Here is a 22,278-nt window from a genome sequence, read left to right as displayed (position 1 = left end):
TGTGTGGTGCTTTCCCACTGGAAGTCTGTTTGCATAAGGATTTGTGAGAAGCCCTTGGAAAAAAAGTCATGGGAAGAGGAGGACTCCAATAGTAAAAGTTGCCATAGAAATCAGAGGATGGGGGCACTTCTGAGAGCAGTGAATATCGTGTGTTGGGGAATTGTCTACTGGCCTAGCCCTTTGAACTCTATTCCCAGTGATAAGAACTATAAATATAAAACTTGGCTGGTCACAATGGCTCATGCCTGTAATCCCAGCACTTTGGGAGACTGAGGCGGGAAGATTACCAGAGGTCAGGAGTTCGAGACCAGCCTGGCCAACATGGTGAAACCTCGTCTCTACTAAAAAGACAAGAATTAGCAGAGCATGGTGGCACACGCCTGTAGTTCCAGCTACTTGGGAGGCTGAGGCAGGAGAATCGCTTGAACATGGGAGGTGGAGGTTGCAGTGAGCGGAGACTGTACCGCTGCACTCCAGCCTGGGCGACAGAGTAAGAGTGTCTCAAAAAAAAATTTTGACTAAGCCCTGGTAAGATAGCAACACACAAACAATGCTTTGGTACCCACTGAACAAGCAGGCTTCTACAGAGGGGAGTGTGGCATTCTCATGGGTATCCCAATGGAAAAGACATGGGGCCTGCCTGAGATAAGGGTGCTAGAAGGAGGTATGACAACATCTATTAAAATATTTGCAAGGCCGAGTAGATATTGGTGATACCACCTGGTGAAGGTCAGAGCAGAAAAAAACAAAATAGCCCAACTGATTTGTGAGTACTCAGATATACACCCTGAGATCTTCCAGAAATACCTGAAGGAGGCTTGAAAAGGAGGTGGGGGTGATGAAATCGTAGAACCAGCTCCAGATGGATAATGTTCCTAAACACTTTCGTGTTCATTATCTCACTGAGATTGGGACAGCTATTTGTTGTCTCTAATTGGTCCTTGTCCTCAGAATTCATGTTTTTGAATGTCAGTCTTTACCCTCTTGGGAGAAACTACATTTAGTGTAGAATTGTTATAGCACCAATAAAAGTGACTTAAAGTTTTAGGGAATGTTCATTTGGATGGCCAGATTTTGAATTTCTTAGTAGATGTTTTGAAAGGCAGCATTTTAATTAAGCAACTATGTGATTGCAATACTCCCTCATAATAGCCAAACTACACATCTTTAATATTAAAATGTAGGCTATGCTATTACAGTTTGGGGTTTGGGTTTTTGTGTGTGTGTGTGTGTAATCTCCAATCTCAAAGTCTGGCTTCACCCCAGGGTTGTCTGTGTCATATTTGAGCAATATTTCTGAACTCACTTCATTCAAAATAACAAGGAATCTTTGAATACTTTGCAGCAATTACCTGGCTTGGCTGAATCAGGAAGACAGGGCCCTAGGGTTCATACTTACATAGTTTCTTAGTCATGTACTGTGGCATAAAGTTCCTATTTAAACAAGCCCTTCCCTCCCATGAAATTATGCCCCAGGGTTTTTTCCCCTGAATGACTTATAGCACATACGCAAAAAGTCTCATAAGAGGAGAGAAAACTCGCTTAGGTTCTTCCTGGATGCAAACTCCATTTAGAAATGATGTGATGATTAATGTCAGTCCTTGTTAACTTTGGGCTTGGCCCCCACAGCAAGAGCTGGGCAAACGCTGGCCCTGGAAGTTACATTTTTATTTCTCCTGTGAATTGCCAAAAAGGCCTCTCTTGAACACAGTCTTCTTATTTGTAAAATTGTTGTTGTGATGTGTTGCCTGGGTACAAATGTTAGAATTCTTCAGGATGGTGTATTATTTGAAGACAGGAAATTCCACCTCAGTTTACCTAGAATGTGAAAAATAGGAAAATTCAAATGACCATGTATTTTACTTAATATTCTGTAAGCTATTTGAGTAGAAACATAGCAATAAAATGAATATACTTTTAGTGAATCTAGTCAAGAATAAAAGAAAAACACAAATAGATGTAATTAATTAAAAGGGTATGGGACCATAGAAAAGCAACTTACGTAAGACTAGGATGTGCAGTATAGTTCTTACATAATAAATTGTAAAGATCACAATAAAAACAGAACTCATTAGGAAAATGTAAATAAACAAAATTGAGCCAAGAAATAGAAAACCTGAGCCAACGAAACAGCATAAAAGAAATTGAAAATGTGGTCAAAATACTATAGCTAAAAAATGTGCCAGGCCTAGCTATAAAGACAAATACTTTTGTACGTTCAGGGAACAGGTCAGCTAAATGTAATATAAACCGTTTCACAGAAAATGATAGAGTGAGGACGGGCGTGGTGACTCACATCTGTAATCCCAGCACTTTGGGAGGCCTATGTGGGTGGATCATTTTAGGTCAGGAGTTCAAGACCAGCATGGACAACATAGCAAAACCCTGTTTCTGCTGAAAATACAAAAAAAATTAGCTGGGTGTGGTGGCATGCGCTTGTAATTCCAGCTACTTGGGAGGCTGAGGCACGAGAATCACTTGAACCCAGGAGACGGAGTTTGCAGTGAGACGAGATCCACATTACTACACTCCAGCTTGGGTAATGAAGTGAGGCTCTGATTCAAAAAAAAAAAAAAGGAAAAGAAAAGTTTGTTTTATGAAACTAGCCTAACCCTGGCAGTAAAGAATGCTAAAATATGGAGCCGAAAATATAAACATGTATTTGTATAAATGTAATACAAATTCAGCTATAAACAGAGATGCAAAAGTAAAGAAAATATTAGTGAATCTCATATTGTTCTGCATGAAAAGAATGATACAGGATGACTAAATACGTTTTATTCTTTTTTTTTTTTTTTTTGAGATGGAGTCTCACTCTGTTGCCGAGGCTGGAGTGCAGTGGTGTGATCTCGGCTTATTGCAACCTCTGCTTCCCGGGTTCAAGTGATTCTCTTGCCTCAGCCTCTCCAGTAGCTGGGATTACAGGTGCCTGCCATCATGCCTGGCTAATTTTTGTATTTTTAGTAAAGACAGGGTTTCACCATGTTGGCCAGGTTGGTCTTGAACTCCTGACCACAGGTGATCCACCCTCCTCCACCTCCCAAAGTGTTGGGATTACAGGCGTGAGCCATGGCGCCCAGCTATAAGTTTTATTCTTAAAGTACAAGAGAAGTTCAATAATAGGAAACTTATCAATAGAATTCATTTCATCAAAAGGTCAGTAGAGAAAAGCCAAATGATTATCTGGATTGATACGTAAAAGGGATTTGAAAACACTCATTCTTGATCCAAACCCTTAGTAAACTAAGAACAGGCTATACCTCCTAAACATGATAGAGTATATATTACTAATAGAAACAAGCAGCCAGCATCACACTTAAACGTGAATTGCCATGAATTCCTATTAATCAGAAATAAGAGAAGAATGTCCTATCACAGCATAGTGAAAGCAGTATCCAGAGGTTGCTCTATCCCATGCAAGGAAATAAGAGACATTAATTGTCAATATTTGCTCATGACATAATTCGCTAGTAGAATCAACAGCGAATATTTTTGATTAGATCAGAATTCCTTTTTTTTTTTTGGACACAGGATCTCACTTTGTCACCCAGGCTGCAGTGCACTGGCACGATAATAGCTCACTGCAGCCTCAACCTCCCAGGTTCAAGCGGCCCTCCCACCTCAGTTTCCCTAGTAGCTGGAACTTCAGGCAAGAGGCACTATGTCCAGCTAATTATTTTTTAATTTTTTGTAGAGATGGGGTGTTGCTCTGTCTCCTAGGCTGCAGTGCAGTGGCATGATAATAGCTCACTGCAACCTTGAACTTCTGGCCTCAAGCAATCCCCTAACCTTGGCCTCTCAAAGCACAAGGACTACAGGCATGAGCCACTGTTCGTGGTTGAATAAATCAGAATTGTATCATGTTTAAATTTTTTCTCTTGTTTTGAAGTACATGTAAAGGGACTTCTCAGGCTATATATATAATATATTATAAAAAAATATTATATATAATACATTATATGTATTATATATTATATATAAATATATAATATATAATATATAATATATTTATATAATATATTTATATAATATATTTATATAATATATAATATATTATATAAATATATTATATATTATAAATATATAATATATAATATATGATATATAATATAAATACATATTTTATTTTATATAGTATATATTTATTATATAAAATATATATAATATATATTTATTTATATATTATATAATATATAAATATATATAATATAAATTATATAAATGTATATAATATAAATTATATGAATATATATAATACAAATTATATATAAATTATATAAAATATATATTATGTTATATATAACACATAATATATTATGATATATAACACATAATATATTATGTTATATAAAACATAATATATTACAACATATAACATACCATATAACATACCGTATAACATATTATATGTTATATATGAAATATATAACATATTGTCTGTTATATAGGAAATATATAACATATTGTCTGTTATATAGGAAATATATAACATATTGTCTGTTATATAGGAAATATATAACATATTGTCTGTTATATAGGAAATATATAACATATTGTCTGTTATATAGGAAATATATAACATATTGTCTGTTATATAGGAAATATATAACATATTGTCTGTTATATAGGAAATATATAACATTGTCTGTTATATAGGAAATATATAACATATTGTCTGTTATATAGGAAATATATAATATACGTTATATAGGAAATATATAATATACGTTATATAGGAAATATATAATATACGTTATATAGGAAATATATAACATATACGTTATATAGGAAATATATAACATATACGTTATATAGGAAATATATAACATATACGTTATATAGGAAATATATAACATATATACGTTATATAGGAAATATATAACATATAATATACATTATATATGAAATATATAACATAATATATAAAATATACTAATGTGATTCATTAAATTTACTAATTTGCTATTATTGTAATGTATGATATTTCAATTCTGCAAATTCCGTTTTCCTCTCTGAATTTATTCATCTTTAAACACAGAAGAGACTCTAACTTGCAAATAATTTGTTACGGAAAAGTTTAAATAGGTCAACCCGATTGTTGTTCTTCTGCTTGTCACTGGGGTACTCTCTGGGTGGAAATCAGTCTTTGCAGTGGGTTACATGGTGTCATACTGAACCCTTCCAGCAAGGCAGATGCCAAGGCCCCCATAAAAGGCATTTGGAGGACCTCACAGTTCACCTCCCAGCCCAGTGGCAGCTGACAGCCCTGCCCCTGTGGTTGGCATGGTGTTGCGGTCTCTGTCAACATTATCCTTTCTGCACTAACCACAGAAGTCTGGTTGCAATGGAGACTTTAGTGGTGGTGTTTGCACAAATATATTTCGCACAGAGCCCGTGTTTGCCTGAAGTTGACTCAAAATGAGCGTCTTACCCCTATTGACTGAGTTCAATCTTCTAGAGTGTCTCCAAACCTGTGGTACAAGGGAATCCCAAGCCATGTTATAGTCCAAGTCTGATCACACAAGTCAGTAAAAATCTGTGGCTTCCCAAGCGGGCCTAGAGAATGAACTATCATCAGTTGTAAAGGCAGCAGCGTATGAAATTAAATATATGAAGATACTTGTGAGAGCAACAAAAATATAATTGGAAAATATAATTACAATTGCTGCTAAATTAACCATAAGCATATCCATCAAGCAATTTAGGAGTGATTTCAGAGACATTGGTAGTTTTCCCGTCACGATACTCAAAGTCTTTTGAACATTCCTACTAACAAATGCATAACCTGTACTATCCTAGAAAAGGTTGCTTGACCATTCCAGATTTAAAAAAGGTCACAGACATGGAATATTCTTGTTTCAGTGGCCCATAGTAGAACAACACTATCTAATTTTAAAAAAACGAATTAGAAATCAGACAAAACTTCAATAAATTTTAAAATTTCATGAAATCAGTCCATGGCAATTCAATGCATTTTGAAATAGCAATAATGTATCATATACTACTGAAAATAGCTTATGAAACTATGTAAGAATAACAAAAACTAAAAAAGATCAGGGAGAAGTGCTGCTTTTCCTGAAAAAGAAAGCTAAAAAAAAAGCTTAAAAAAAAAAATTAAGACCACGCCTATAATCCCAGCACTTTGAGAGGCTGAGGCAGGAGGATCGCCTGAGCCCAGGAGTTCGAGGCCAGCCTGGGCAACATAGCAAGACCCCATCTTTAAAAACAAACAAACAAACAAACAAACAAACCCAACTACATATCAGCCAGGCATGGTGATGTGTGCTTGTGGTCCCAGCTACTTGGGAAGCTGAGGTGGGAGGATCACTTGAACGCAAGGAGGCTGAGGCTGCTGAGAGTCGTGATTGTGCCACTGGATGCCTGAGCAATAGAGGGAACAGAAGGAGACCCTGTCTCAAAAAAAAAAAAAAAAAAAGAAAAAAAATTGGTTCAAGGTAAAACTAGATAGATATGGTGCTAGTGCCACCTGCTGTTGTAGATACAAAGTGCAGCTATCTAATAGCTGGTTGCTCTGAATATTCAGTATTCTTTTAAAACCTGCCCCCTCATGGCGGGAACCATGAGTTTTATGTTGCTTTCACTATTTCCACTTATCCAAATCTTACTGCGTGCTAAGAATTATGGTGCCAAGAGCTTTACATAAATCCTCTCATTTAGATGTCATAACAACTCTACCAGGTAGGTAGCATTTTTGTCCCCATTATATATGTGAACAGAAGAGAGCTTGAGAGTTGCTAAATAACTTACCCCAGGACAGGGAGCTGGTGAGTGGCAGAGCCAGGGAGGCTGGCAGATCAGAATTCGGTATGTCCAGTCAGAATACAATCTCTGCCTTTCATGCTATGTTACTTTTCATTGAGATCTCCCTTTTTGGAGATCTTACAGGAAATTTATGTTTTTATCACTTCAGCCTCAGTTTTCTATATTCAAAAGGATTAATCTAGTGGAATGGATTATTAGGAAACATTACTAGACCCAACAAAGGTTCTGCAGGTTATTTGGGGTGGTCTTTTACATTTTGTGTGTGTGTGTGTGTGTGTGTGTGTGTGTGTGTGTAGACGAGGTCTTAGTATGTTGTCCAGGCTGATCTTGAACTCCTGGGCTCAAGCAATCCTCCTGCCGCAGCCTTCCAAAGTGCTAGGATTACAGATGTGGGCCATTGTGCCTGTTCTGTCTTTCACATTTTAATACAAAATTCTTGGCTGGGAGCGGTGGCTCACACCTGTAATCCCAGCACTTTGGGAGGGCAAGGTGGGTATGTCACTTGAGGCCAGGAGTTTGAGACCAGCCTGGACAACATGATCAAACCCCCTCTCTACTAAAAATACAAAAATTAGCTGTGCATAGTGGTCCATGCCTGTAATCCCAGCTACTTGGAAGGCTGAGGCACGAGAATCGCTTGAACCTGGGAGGTGGAAGTTGCAGTGAGCTGAGATTGCACCACTGCACTCCAGCCTGGACGACAGAGCCAGACTCTGTCTCCCAAACAAACAAACAAAAAACCAAAATTCTTATCAAATTTTAGGCCTTTATGTTCCTTCATGCTAATTTGCATTGCATAATGGACACTAATAACTTTTACTCCTATATTTTCAGAGTAACCTAGTTTAGAAGTGAGAAGATGAATTAGATTTCCCCTGAAAGGCACTCCCTTAGACTGAGGATGGTACAAACATTGTATTTCTATCAGGGTGACAAGAATGGCTTATCGGTCCTTATTTGGTATAATGTACACGGCTTGCTATAAGACATTTTTTGGTTATTGTATGCACATGCTAAGAACTCTTAGCACCATGTTCTAATGAGTCTAACGGTTTGTTGCTAAATGTGATATTTTGTGTCCAAGAATTGAAAGCACAAAACGGAGAGGGGATGAAGCAGATGGAAAAATACAGCAATAGCTGGAGTCCAGTAGGGCAGAGGGGCAAAACCAGGAGGGAGACATAGGCAGGTTAATAAATCCAAGTGGAAAAGAGCAGCAAAATCAGGAAAGTGTACCCAGGAGTCAGTTATTGGAAGAGTAGAAGTGGAGATGCAGTTCAAATAGTTGGAATCTTTCCTTGTTCTGGCAGATTTGAGGCAAGTGGTTGGGGACGCCACGGCAATGTGTGTTGTTTCTTAGGAGAACATCTCTGAAGGCAAGTGAGTCAACACCAGATACCATTAGGGTCCAGTCAGTTCAGTTGAATAAAGATTTATCCAGCGTCTTTGCTGTGGAAAACATTGTCGTTGCATGCTATGAGTAGTCAAAAATCTGCCTCATATCCTTTCCCTTTCTTCTCCTCCACGGATTTACCATTGACAGCACTTGATTCAATCCAGCTGTAAATAGTTAGAAACCTGGGTTGCTGAGTTTCAATCTGAACCCAAGAACCACAGCCCAATTACCTAGTTACAGCTGAGCTGTAGCTGTAAGCTGTAACAATAAGCTGTGCAATTGATTGCTGGGCCAGCATCCTACCTCTTGCCTGGAAAACCCTACTTCATACATGTGTGTGTGTGTTTGTGTGTGTGTGTTTGTGTGTGTGTGTGTGATATGTTGTAACTTTTTTTCCTTTTTAAAAATTTTCACAGCCAGGCGTGGTGGCTCATGCCTGTAATCCCAGCGCTTTGGGAGGCCGAGGCAAAAGGATAGCTAAGTCTTGGAGTTCAAGACCAGCCTGCGCAACATGGTGAAACCTTATCTCTACAAAACTATCAAAATTAGCAGGGCATGATGTTGCACACCCGTAGGCCCAGCTACTCAGTGGGGCTGAGGCAGGAGGATCTCTTAATCCCAGGAGACTGAGGCTGCAGTGAGCCAAGATTGTCCCAGCGCACTCCAGCCTGGATGACAGGGCGAGACCCTGTCTCTAAATAAATAAATAAATAAATTGTGGCAAAAATCGTAACATCTTATAGTTAAATAGTGTTTATTATATTCACATGGTTGTATAACAGATCTCTAAAACTTTTTCATCTTATGCAATAGAAACTCTATACTCATTAAACCTAATTCTTCCTCCCCCTTTCCACAGCCCTCGTTAATCATCTTTTAACTTTCTGTTTCTATGATTTTGACTACTCTAGATACTTCATATTAAGTGAAAGCATATGAGATTTGTCCTTTTGTGTGTAGCTTATTTTGTTTGGCCTAATACTCTTGAGGTTCATCCATGTTGTAGTGAGATATGATTCTCTTCCTTTTTAAGATGCATAATATACAATTGTATAGATATACCACATTTTGTTTATCCATTCATCTGTTGATGGACATTTGAGTTGCTCCCACCTCTTCGTTATTGTGAATAATATTGAGATGAATATGGGTTTTTGCTTTTACTTTTTGAAAATCAAAACTGCCATGGTAACTGGAAGTATAGCAGTCTAGGGAGAATGTATGAAAACTGAGGCAAAAAGTTGGTGCTGGGCAGTAGCAGGCTAAATATCTCAGGAAGCAGCTTGCGTGGGAGAATTCTTGGCTCACATCACCTGAACACTTGTACATCTCACTTAGGAAAAAGAGTTTGGCTTTTAGCATGACCTCTGGTTTATAGAAAGGCAACGTCTTGATCTGTTTCTGCTGCTGTAACAAAATACCTTAGGCTTGGCGTGGTGGCTCACACCTGTAATCCCACGTGGCTGAGGCAAGAGGCTGAGGCAGGAGGATTGCTTGGGCCCAGGAGTTCGAAACCAGCCTGGGCAAAACAGTAAGATCCTGTCTCTACAAAAAATACAAAAAAAAAATAGTTGGGTGTGGTGGCATGCACCTGTAATCCCAGCTGAGGCTGAGGTGGAAGGATGGCTTACACCCAGGAGGTCAAGCCTGCAGTCAGCCGTGATTGCACCACTGTACTTCAGGCTGGGCAACAGAGTGAGGCCCTGTCTCAATATACAAACAAACAAGCAAACAGAAAAAAACAAAGTACCTTAAACTGGGAAATTATTGATATAAACAATAGAAATGTATTGCTCACAGGTCTGGAGGTTGAGAAGTGGAGATAAGGCTCCCGCAGGTTCAGCATCTGGGTGATTGCTTCAAAAATGGTGCCTTCTTGCTGTGAGCATCCTCACATGGCAGAAAGGCCCAGGAAACTTCCTTGAGCCTCTTTCATAAGGACACAAATGTCATTCATGGGAGTGGAGCCCTCAAGACTCAACCATCTCCCAGAGGCTCCACCTCTTAATGTTATCCCATTGGGAATTAAGTTCCAGCTTATGAATTTTCGCAGGGAGTGGGGACACCAACATTCAGACTTTAGCAGACTATCTTGCCACAAAGGGGTGGATCTTTTTTCCAATGTTCCAACCATGTCACATAGCTCATATCTCCAGCATCGTTATATCTCACCCAGCGACTTTGTAGGAACCACTCACTTCCAACGTGGGGGTATGTGCTCTGCCAAACTGCCTGAAGGGAGGCCTAATGATGGGGAGGAAAGGGCACAGGTTCTGAACTCTGGACTCTGAAGACTTTAATTTTAGTCCTGACACTGCCATTGTTTTCAAACTTGGGTAAATAATTTAAGTTCTTTACATTTTAGCTTTCCTTTTTTTTTTTTTTGACAGAGTCTCGCTCTGTCGCCCAGGCTGGAGTGCAGTGGCGCGATCTCGGCTCACTGCAAGCTCCGCCTCTCGGGTTCACGGCATTCTCCTGCCTCAGCCTCCTGAGTAGCTGGGACTACAGGCACCCACCACCACACCCGGCTAATTTTTTTGTATTTTTAGTAGAGACGGGGTTTCACCCTGTTAGCCAGGTTGGTCTCGAGCTCCTGACCTCGTGATCCACCTGCCTCGGCCTCCCAAAGTGCTGGGATTACAGGCGTGAGCCACCGCGCCCGGCCTCCATTTGTTAAATGAGGATGATAATAAAGACTTTACACATGTTTGGTAAGGATTCAATGAGAATAACTGTAAACTTTAAAATAAGTGGTTTTTCTTTTTCTTTCTTTTTTTTTTTGAGACAGGGTCTCACACTGTGTCCGGAATTGGTGGGTTCTTGGTCTCACTGACTTCAAGAATGAAGCCGTGGACCCTCGCGGTGAGTGTTACAGCTCTTAAGGTGGCGTGTCCGGAGTCTGTCCCTTCTGATGTTCAGATGTGTTCGGAGTTTCTTCCTTCTGGTGGGTTCGTGGTCTCGCTGGCTCAGGAGTGAAGCTGCAAACCTTCGCGGTGAGTGTCACAGCTCTTAATGCAGTGCGTCTGGAGTTGTTCGTTCCTCCCAGTGGGCTCGTGGTCTCGCTGTGCTCAGGAGTGAAGCTGCAGATCTTCACGGTGAGTGTCACAGCTCATAATAGCAGCGTGGACCCAAAGAGTGAGCAGTAGCAAGATTTATTGCAAAGAGCGAAAGAACAAAGCTTCCACAGTGTGGAAGGGGACCCCAGCGCGTTGCCAATGCTGGCTCTGGCAGCCTGCTTTTATTCTCGTATCTGGCCCCACCCACATCCTGCTGATTGGTAGAGCCGAGTGGCCTGTTTTGTCAGGGCGCTGATTGGTGCGTTTACAATCCCTGAGCTAGATACAAAGGTTCTCCACGTCCCCATCAGATTAGTTAGATACAGAGTTTCCACACACAGGTTCTCCAAGGCCCCACCAGAGCAGCTAGATACAGAGTGTCGACTGGTGCATTCACAAACCTTGAGCTAAACACAAGGTGCTGATTGGTGTATTCACAAACCTTGAGCTAGATACAGAGTGCTGATTGGTGTATTTACAATCCCTGAGCTAGACATAAAGACTCTCCACGTCCTCACCAGAGCAGCTAGATACAGAGTGTCGATTGGTGCACTCACAAACCTTGAGCTAAACACAGGGTGCTGATTGGTGTATTTACAATTCCTGAGCTAGATATAGACTCTCCACGTCCCCACCAGACTCAGGAGCCCAGCTGGCTTCACCTAGTGGGTCCCGCACCGGGGCTGCAGGTGGAGCTGCCTGCCAGTCCCACGCCGTGCACTCGCATTCCTCAGCCCTTGGGTGGTCGATGGGATTGGGCGCCGTGGAGCAGGGGGTGGCGCTCGTCAGGGAGGCTCGGCCGCACAGGAGCCCATGGAGTGGGTGGGAGGCTCAGGCATGGCGGGCTGCACGTCCTGAGCCCTGCCCCGTGGGAAGGCAGCCAAGGCCTGGCGAGAAATCGAGCGCAGCACCGGTGGGCCAGCACTGCTGGAAGACTCAGTACACCCTCCGCAGCCACTGGCCCGGGTGCTAAGTCCCCCATTGCCCGGGGCCAGCAGGGCTGGCTGGCTGCTCCGAGTGCGGGGCCCACCAAGCCCACGCCCACCTGGAACTCCAGCTGGCCCGCCAGTGCTGCACACAGCCCCGGTTCCCGCTCGTGTCTCTCCCTCCACACCTCCCTGCAAGCTGAGGGAGTGGGCTCCGGCCTTGGCCAGCCCAGAAAGGGGCTCCCACCGTGCAGTGGTGGGCTGAAGGGCTCCTCAAATGCCACCAAAGTGGGAGCCCAGGCAGGGGAGGTGCCGAGAGCAAGCGAGGGCTCTGAGGACTGCCAGCACGCTGTCACCTCTCAACACTGTCAACCAGGCTGGGGTGCAGTGGCACCATCACGGCTTACGGCATCCTCGACCTCCTGGGCTTAGGTGATCCTCCCACCGCAGCCTCCTGAGTAGTTAGGACTACAGGCGCCCCCTACCATGCATGGCTAATTTTTATACTTTTTGTAGACATGGGGTTTTGCTATGTTGCCAAGGCTGGTCTCAAACTCCTGGGCTCAAGCCATCCATCTGCCTTGGCCTCCCAAAGTGCTGGGGTTACAGGCGTGAGCCACCACACCAGGCCAAAAGAAGTTTTACATACATAGTGTCTATATTAGTTTTAGTGATTATCATTGCATAGCATTTCTAATACATTTTTTATTCTACTTGTCTTTTATTAATAGCTGCTTCCTTTCTCTTCATAACTCTGTGCAAGTTTCTTTATCAGATCTCTCTAAGGAATCAGAAGGATAATTCTCCCCTCTCAATCCTAATGCAAAAAGGCCTGTGTCTTCCCTGGGGTTTACGGCTACCGTAAATACAAAGTGGTTACTCAAGATTTATTAATTAATGAGAACATTTGTGGGGTGTGCCAGAGATTGCTAGTTTTTCCTGAATGTCCATTCTCCTCCCTCCTTCCTTAGTAACAGAAATCCCGTTTTTTAGCTGGACACAAAGCTGTCAAGAATAAAGACTAGTACTTCCCCGCTTCCCGTGTGGCTAGAATGTGCTGAGCTCTGGCTATTGAAATGATATGTGTTTCCATATTTTTTTAAGGAAAAATAAAAAACAGAAAAGGTTAATCCAGGCAGTTAATTACCCCCTTTCAAAATATTTGAAGAAGCCAGGTGCAGTGGCTCATGCCTGTAGTCCCAGCACTTTGGGAGGCCAAGGCAGGTAGATCACCTGAGGTCAGGAGTTCGAGACCAGCCTGGCCAACATGGAGTAACCCTGTCTTTACTAAAAATACCAAATCAGCCGGGTGTGGTGGCACGCCCCTGTAATCCCAGCTACTCGGGAGGCTGAGGCAGGAAAATGGCTTGGTCACGGGAGGCGGAGGTTGCAGTGAGACGAGATTGCACCATTGCACTCCGGCCTGGGCAACAAGAGCGAAACTCTTTCTCTCTCTCTCTCTCTCTCTCTCTATATATATATATATATTTGAGGAATATATATATATTTGAGGGTTGAGGGGTAGTAGAAGCCTGCCACTTGAATTACCAAGTTCCAGAACACTTTGTCATTGCTGCTGTCCATCTTAGAACATGAAGTGGAAGCCAAGTGATGATCTGAGTCCCTAATGATTGGGGGGTTTTCAAATCAGCCCCCTGTGTCATTCATGTCTAGGCATGGTTTATGTGCAAGAGAAATAAAGTTCTTTCTTACTTATGCTACTGCTGCTTTATTTTTATTATGTATTTATTTCCTTTGAGACAGAGTCTTGCTCTGTTGCCCAGGTTGGTGTGCAGTGGTGCAATGTTGGCTCACTGTAAACTCAACCTCCTGGGTTCAAGACTATCTCCTGCCTCAGTTTCCCAAGTAGCTGGGACTACAGGTACACGCCACCATACCCAGCTACCACTGCTGCTTTAAATTTTCGTTCACTCAGAATGGAGCCACATGCATTTTTACTTATCTATCAATTTACTTATTTAATTTTTTTTTTTTTTTGAGACAGAGTCTTGCTGTCTCCCAGGCTGGATTGCAGTGGCACAATCTCGGCTCACTGAAAGCTCTGCCTCCTGGGTTCACGCCGTTCTGCTGCCTCAGCCTCCCGAGTAGCTGGGACTACAGGTGGCCGCCGCCATGCCCAGCTAATTTTTTATATTTTTAGTAGAGACAGGGCTTCACCGTGTTAGCCAGGATGGTCTCGATCTCCTGACCTCGTGATCCGCCCTCCTCGGCCTCCCAGAGTGCTGGGATTACAGGCGTGAGCCACTGCGCCCGGCCTAATTTTTTTTTTAAGATGAGGTCTTACTCTGTCACCCAGGCTGGAGTGTAATGACACCATTATAGCTCACTGCAGCCACGAACTCCTGGGCTCGAGTGATCCTTTTGCCTCAGCCTCCCAAGTGACTGGAACTATGGGCGTGCACCACCACGGCAGCTCAGAATGGAACCAAATCCCAACCGATATAAGATCATCTTCATAATTATTTCTCACATGCTATTTTTACTTACACTACTTTTTAAAAATCCACAGCACACATTATTTTCTGTGTCTAGCATATCCTAAAACATAGAAAGGGTCCAAAACTTGATGAGGTAGAGATTATTGGCTTAACTAAGAAACAGAAACCACTTGAGCATTTAAACAGAGAGATGCCAGTGCAGGGACTGTGTACTCAGAGGATGGAAAAGCCGAACAGAACAGCAAGTTCACCTAGAGATAATAACCAGCTGCTACCACTGCTAAGCTAAAGGGAGAGAGGGAAGAGGTTGTATGGATTGTATTCGTTTATTTCCCCCAATTTCTTTCTTTCTTTCTTTTTTGAGAAAGTGTCTCACTCTATCACCAAGGCTGAGTGCAGTAGCGTGTTCGCTACTCACTGCAGCCTCAACCTCCTGGACTCAAGTGATCCTCCTGCTTCAGCCATCTGAGTAGCTGGGACTACAGGCATGTATCGCCAAGCCTGGCTAATGTTTTATTTTTTGTAGAGAGGGGGTTTCACTATGTTGCCCAGGCTGGTATTGCCTGTAATGACTCACTACCATCCCAGTAAGAGAAGTATATATCATATGTTGTTGATATGTGGCTTGCTTTGATTAATAACATGTGAGAAGTGATATACATTACTTCTTTTTTTTTGAGTTGGAGTCTTGCTCTGTCCCCCAGGCTGGAGTGCAGTGGCGCGATCTCGGCTCACTGCAAGCTCTGCCTCCCAGATTCACACCATTCTCCTGCCTCAGCCTCCCGAGTAGCTGGGACTACAGGCACCCGCCACCATGCCTGGCTAGTTTTTTGTATTTTTAGTAGAGACAGGGTTTCACCGGATATACATTACTTCTATGTTGAGTCATATGATATAGAGGTAAGGCAACTGGTATCCACAAAGGTTCCTAACAGGTAGGCAGCTTGACCAGGAAGGAAGCCCAGGGCTTGGAATCAGGACATCTGGATTCAGTTCCTGGCTCTGCCACTTACTACCTGACAGGCCTGGGGCCAGTTGTTGGGTTTCATGGTGTCAGTGTCTTCATTGGGAGAATGGGCTCAAATGATGGATTTATACTGATGTCACACTGTCTTTTCATCTTGCTGTAGTATACCATGGATCAACCACGCAATAATAATCTCTTAAAAGAGAACTCTTTGTCCTTAAATTGAGTCCTTTTTTGCTTGTATATGTTCTGTTGATTAAATTTTGTGTTTGTCCCAGTACTTATTCATTAAGTTGGGTTTTTTCCCCCTAAAAATGAATATTCCTTCCATGAACCAAAGCAGTGAAAAATCTACTCATTCTATTTTTTTTTTTTGATACAGAGTCTCGCTCTGTCGCCCAGGCTGGAGTGCAGTGGTTCGATCTCGGCTTACTGCAAGCTCTGCCTTCCGGGTTCACGCCATTCTCCTGCCTCAGCCTCCTGAGTAGCTGGGAGAACAATTCCATTGGCTGAAAAAAAAAAAAAGAATGCTGTTTCAGGAGAGACTTGGGAGGTACAGGAGAAACATCAACACCTCAGGATGTTGGATAAAATGCAAACCCTTTTGAGTGTGTTGAGGGTTTTGATGGAGAAATTTTGTAAAAGGAGCTGCAATGCACTATTTTAGTTCCCCCTTAACTCCTCTATGCTACATTTCAGAGCTCCCAATTGAGCTCCTCACCTGCCCTGGTCACTTTCTTTTCCTTTTTCCGTGGGAGAAAGATTGTATTTCACTTGAGTTATACCAACCAGATTTCCTGAGCTAAGACCACCAAGGATGTAGTTGTGATAAAAAGTGAGAAGGCTAGGGGTGAGGGTGCCTTTATAAATGGCCACTAGTCAGACCAAGAGTTGTAGTGCCTTCAAAATCATTACATAGGCTGGGTGCAGTGGCTTACACCTGTAATTCCAGCTCTTTGGGAAGCCAAGGCAGGAGAATTGCTTGAGCCAAAGTAGTGAGACCTGGTCTCAACAAAAAATCAGAAAATTAGGTAGGCATGATGGCCTGCACCTGTGGTCCCAGCTGCCCAGAAGGCTGAGGTGGGAGGATTATTCGAGCCTGGGAGGTAGAGGCAGCAGTGAGCTGTGATCATGCCACTGCAATCCAGCCTGGGTGACAAAGCGAGACCCTGCCTCAAAAAAAAAAAAAAGTTGCCATATTGCTCTAAATTAGTGATGTGCCTGGAAGTCACTCTGCTGGACACTTCTTCTAAAGGGTAAAGTTCTGGCATTGGGAGAAAAAAAAAAAGACCCCTCCCCGCTGAGAATGGTGACTTGGAGCCGTGATACAAGAAGCGAGGCCCCAATCTGCCTGGCTAAAATAGTGCCATGTCCTGGATTTCCTAGGCAATGTCCTGTGACCTCTTAGCAATCTCTCTGACTGATGGTGACATCAATTTCATAATGGATGGCCACGACAGGGTCAGGTGGGAGGGCTAGGGAGGGCTAGCCTCTAGACTTCTCAGAGCTGTCCTTCTATAAGGACATTGCTTTGCTTCCTAGGTCAGCTGCAGGTGGGTAGGATGGCAAAAAATTCTTCTATGTTGAAGTCTTTCAGGACAGAACTGTGTCTGATAATTTAGTATTTGGGCCTTCAGGGACATAAGGGATAGTCCTGAAGTTTTGCTGGCTGGTTAAAGCTTTTTAAGCTAATACATATAAAATGAAAATATGCCCCTTCCTACCTTCACCAAGGAAAAAGAGTAGGACTCCATTCCATTTCCCACAAATTTAGTGGCTTCAAACAACATAAATTTATTGTCTTAAAATATTATTTTTATTATTAACTTTTAAAGATGGGAACTCTGTCACCCAGGCTGGAGTACAGTGGTGCAATCATGGCTCACTGCAACCTTGAACTTCTGGATTCAGGCAATTCTCCTGCTTCAGCCTCCCATGTAGCTGAGATTTAGGCATGAGCTGCCATGCCATGCAAATTTATTATCTTGAAGTTGTGGAGGTCAGGTGTCCAAAATGAGTCTTTAGGGATAAAATCAAAATGTTGGCAAAGCTTTGTTTTTTCTGGAGTCTTTATGGGAGAATCATTTTCATACCTTTTCCAGCTTCTAGAAGTTACCCAAATTCCTTGGCTCATGGCCTTTTCCTCCATCTTCAAAGTGCATCACTTCAATCTGCTTCCATTGTCTCATCTCCTCTTTGACTCTCACGTTCCTGCCTCCCTCTTGTAAGGACCCTTGTAATTGCATTGAGCCCATCCAGAGACTCTAGGATAATCTCCCCATCTCACAATCTTAGCCTAATCACATCCACAAAATCTCTTTTACTATGTAAGGTGACATATTTATGGGTTCCTAGGACTAGGACATGGACATCTTTGGAACCGTTATTCTGTCTCCCATACTTACTAAAAAAATAATAGTAGCACAGAGATATAAAGTAAAAAGTGAATTCACCTCCAATAATTTTGACTGCTTCTATTATCTAGTTCTTTGGCTTATTTGACATGAAATGCTAGATAACTTGCTTCTATATCTCTATTTCTTAATTCATCAGCTTAAAAAAATATATATTAACTTTCTGTGACAGAAACAACCAATGGGGAAAGGACTCCCTATTCAATAAATGGTGCTGGGATAACTGGCTAGTTACATGCAGAAGACTGAAACTGGACCCCTTCCTTACACCATATGTAAAAATTAACTCAAGATGGATTAAAGACTCAAATGTAAACCCTGTAAACCCTGGAAGAAAACCTAGGAAATACCATTCTGGTCATAAGCCCTGGCAAAGATTTCATGACAAAGATGCCAAAAGCAATTGCAACAAAACCAAAAATTGACAAGTGGGACCTAATTAAACTAAAGAACTTCTGCACAGCAAAAGAAACTATCAACAGAGTAAACAGACAACCTACAGAATGGGAGAATATATTTGCGAACTATGGCATCTGACAAAGGTCTGATATCCAGAATCTGTAAGGAACTTAAATCAACAAGCAAAAAACAAACAAACAAAAAACAAAAACAAAAAAACATTAAAAAGTGAGCAAAGGACATGAACACTTTTCAAAAGAAGACATACACACAGCCAACGGGCATATGAAAAAATGCTCAACATCACTAATCATTAGAAAAATGCAAATCAAAACCACAGTGAAATACCATCTCACACCAGTCAGATTAGCTATTATTAAAAAGTCGAAAAACAACAGATGCGGCTGGATGCAATGGCTCACGCCTGTAATCCCATTACTTTGGGAGGCCGAGGCGGGCGGATCACCTGATGTCAGGAGTTCAAGACCAGCCTGGCCAACATGGTGAAAATACATCTCTACTAAAAATACAGAAGTTAGCCAAGCGTGGTGGTGCATGCCTATAATCCCAGCTACTTGGGAGGCTGAGGCATGAAAATCGCTTGAACCTGGGAGGTAGAGGTTGCAGTGAGCCAAGATCGTGCCACTGCACTCCAGCCTGGACATCAGAGTGAGATTCCGTCTAAAACGACGACAACAACAACAACAACAACAGCAGATGCTGGTGAGGTTGCACAGAAAAGGGAACACTTATACACTGCTAGTAGGAATATAAATTAGTTCAGCCACTGTGGAAAGCAGTTTGGCAATTCCTCAAATAACTTAAAACAGAACTACCATTTGACCCAGCAATCCTATTATGTATATACCCGAAGTAATATAAATAATTCTACCATAAAAAACACATACATGCATATGTTCATTGCATTCAATAGCAAAGACATAGAATCAACCTACATGCCTATCAACAATAGACTGGATAAAGAAAATGTGGCACATATACACCATGGGATACTACACAGCCATTAAAAATTAGTTCATGTCCTTTGCAACAGCACAGATGCAGCTGGAGGCCATTATTCTAAGTGAACTAACACAGGAACAGAAAATCAAATACCGCAGGTTCTCACTTATAAGTGAGAGCTACACACTGAATACACGTGAATACAAAGAAGGGAACAACAGATACCAGAGCCTACTAGAGGGTGGAGGATGGGAGGAGGGTGAAGATTGAAAAACTAATTACTGGGTGACAAAATAATCTGTACACCAAACCCCCATGATATGCAATTTACCTATATGACAAACTTACACATGTACCTCTGAACCTAAAATAAAAGTTTAAAAAGTATCTATTGAATCTCTGAACTTAACACACCTGCCTCCCTTCTCTTGCCCCTTGACACTTCCTTACTTCTTTAACTTAGTTATATTTTAAATAACTTTTTTTTTTTTGGACAGAGTTTCACTCTTGTTGTCCAGGCTGGAGTACAATGGCATGATCTCAGCTCACCGCAGCCTCCGCCTCCTGGGTTCAAGCAATTCTCCTGCCTCAGCCTCCCGAGTAGCTGGGATTACAGGCATGCGCCACCATACCCGGGTAATTTTGTATTTTTAGTATAGATGGGGTTTCGCCATGTTGGTCAGGCTGGTCTCGAACTCCTGACCTCGTGACCTGCCTGCCTTGGCCTCCCAAAGTGCTAGGATTACAGACATGAGCCACCATGCCTGGCTTAAATAACTTTTTTTCCCCTTTTTTAATGTGTAGAATAGAGATGTTGTCTCACCATGTTGCCGAGACTGGTTTCAGGCCCCTGGTCTCAAGTGATCCTCCCACTTCAGCCTCCTAAAGTGCTGGGATGATAGGCATGAACCACCACACCCAGCCTTATATAACTTTTGACATTGACTTTCAGCACTCTTTATTGATTGCCCACACATAAGATGTGAACGTTATTGTACCTGTACTTTCCTCCATTTTCCCTCTGACTCCTCTATGTTTGGCTTCTGTCTATGATATCATTAGTTGTACATTGTTAAGGATTACTTTTCTGTAATTATAATTAAACCTTTCATGTGCGTTGTGTATAGATTTATTCTAAAATTGAACATTAATCAGTGGGACTTTCACTATAATGATGATGAAGATATTAACCACTGAAGAATCAAGTGAGTTTTAGGCCTGTAGAAAAGAAAATAACAATCCTACATCACTGAAACTGTACTGCTTGGGAAAAAAAAATATCGTAAGCATCAAAATCAAATGGAATCTTTTTCCCCTTGAGCAACTACTCATTATCAGTCTACATTTTAATTTGCCTCATACAGACCCATGACTTTCTTGGATAGCTTTTGTTTTACTGGGTACTCTATTGCTTTTTTCTTTTTTTTTTGACTGTCATGTTCAAGGAAGAGAAGAAAAAAGCCTTAGTGTCCTATTCAAACTGTATGTTTTGTAAACGCCACTTAAAAAGAAAGTTATTCATGTTATATTCGTGTTCATTCTTGGATTCCATTTTCATTTTGCTGGAATAACACCTGAAGTAATTTTTTCAGAAATGGTTCATTGGAGGTTAACTTTTCGGGTCTTTGCTTCTTTGGAAATGTTGATAATTGTTTGGCTAGATATGGAATACTTGGTGAGAAATTAATTCTCTCAGAAATTTGAAGTTGTCATTTAATTTTCCTCTCACATTCATTGCTGCTACTCAATACTCTGATGCCAACAGATGTTCCTGATAGCTGATGATGAGAATGGAAACTATTTGCATTTTCAGCAGACGTTTGTGAGTATGCTGATTTCTCTACAGTCTTACTGATAGGATGTGCTGCCAAATATATGGATTTTTGTCAAATTCAAAGGTTGAAAATGATATTCAGTTTAGTTTAGTTCATATTTACATGATTATTATTATTATTTTTAGAGATGGGGTCTCTCTGTGTTGCCAAGCCTGGTCTTGAACTCCTGGGCTCAAACAATCCTCCCATCTCAGCCTTCCAAAGTGCTGGGGTTGCAAATGTGAGCCACTGCTCCTAGCCTCTTTTTGCTTTCTTATTTACTTACATACACTTTTGATTCAGTTTCTTCCAGAAGTCTACTATATAAACAAGTTTTTCATTTTTACTTATCGCTTTTTTTGTTGTCTTGGTTTTGTTTGTTTGTTCTGTTTTTGAGACAGGGTGTCTGTCACTCAGCCTGGAGTGCAGTGGCACAATCTTGGCTCACTGCAGCCTGGACCTCCTGGGCGCAAGTGATTCTCCCATTTCAGCCTCCTCAGCATCTGGGACCACAGGCGCCCACCGCCACACCTGGCTAATTTTTATATTTGTAGAGATGCGGTTTTGCCATGTTGCTCAGGCTGGTCTTGAACTCCTGCGCTCAAGCAATCTGCCTCCTCAGCCTCCCAAAGTGCTGGGATTACAGGTGTGAGCCACTATACCCAGTCTTTTTCTTCAGGACTTAGACACTCTAATATACTCTTCCTTTTTTAATGATATAAGTATTGTCACAAGACCAAACCTACACACCTTACTTTCTTCCTTAGGATAAGTGTACCCTAGGAGACTCTCTGGACTCTGACATGACCTTTCTTGCAGAGGCCTTGTGGTCTCCACTCTGATTCCTACCACTGTCACAGCTGAAGCTCAAGCTGGCCTTGATGACATGTTCATTCTTCCTTTCAGTATTGGTTAGTGCCTCCTCAAATATCCAGGAATAACACAAATCTAATGAGAAATAAAAATTATAACCCTACTCTCACTAAAATGGCCATAATCAAAAAATTAAAAAATAATAGATGTTGGTGTGGATGCAGTGAAAAGGGAACACTTCTACACTGCTGGTGGGAATGTAAACTAGTACAACCACTATGGAAAACA

The 22,278-nt window shown here is 41.7% G+C and overlaps 1 annotated feature.

Moving 5' to 3' along the window:
- Positions 1,545 to 1,748: a silencer, noted in NCBI's record as "fragment chr8:25032605-25032808 (GRCh37/hg19 assembly coordinates)". NCBI's record gives its function as "represses an EF-1alpha promoter that drives an FKBP-Casp9 reporter gene in an ReSE screen in HepG2 liver carcinoma cells {active_cell/tissue: HepG2}" and the evidence as "EXISTENCE:reporter gene assay evidence [ECO:0000049][PMID:32094911]".

This window comes from Homo sapiens, chromosome 8 (assembly GCF_000001405.40).
Source record: "Homo sapiens chromosome 8, GRCh38.p14 Primary Assembly".
Taxonomy (NCBI): domain Eukaryota; kingdom Metazoa; phylum Chordata; class Mammalia; order Primates; family Hominidae; genus Homo; species Homo sapiens.
This window is presented reverse-complemented; position numbering and strand designations above follow the sequence as displayed.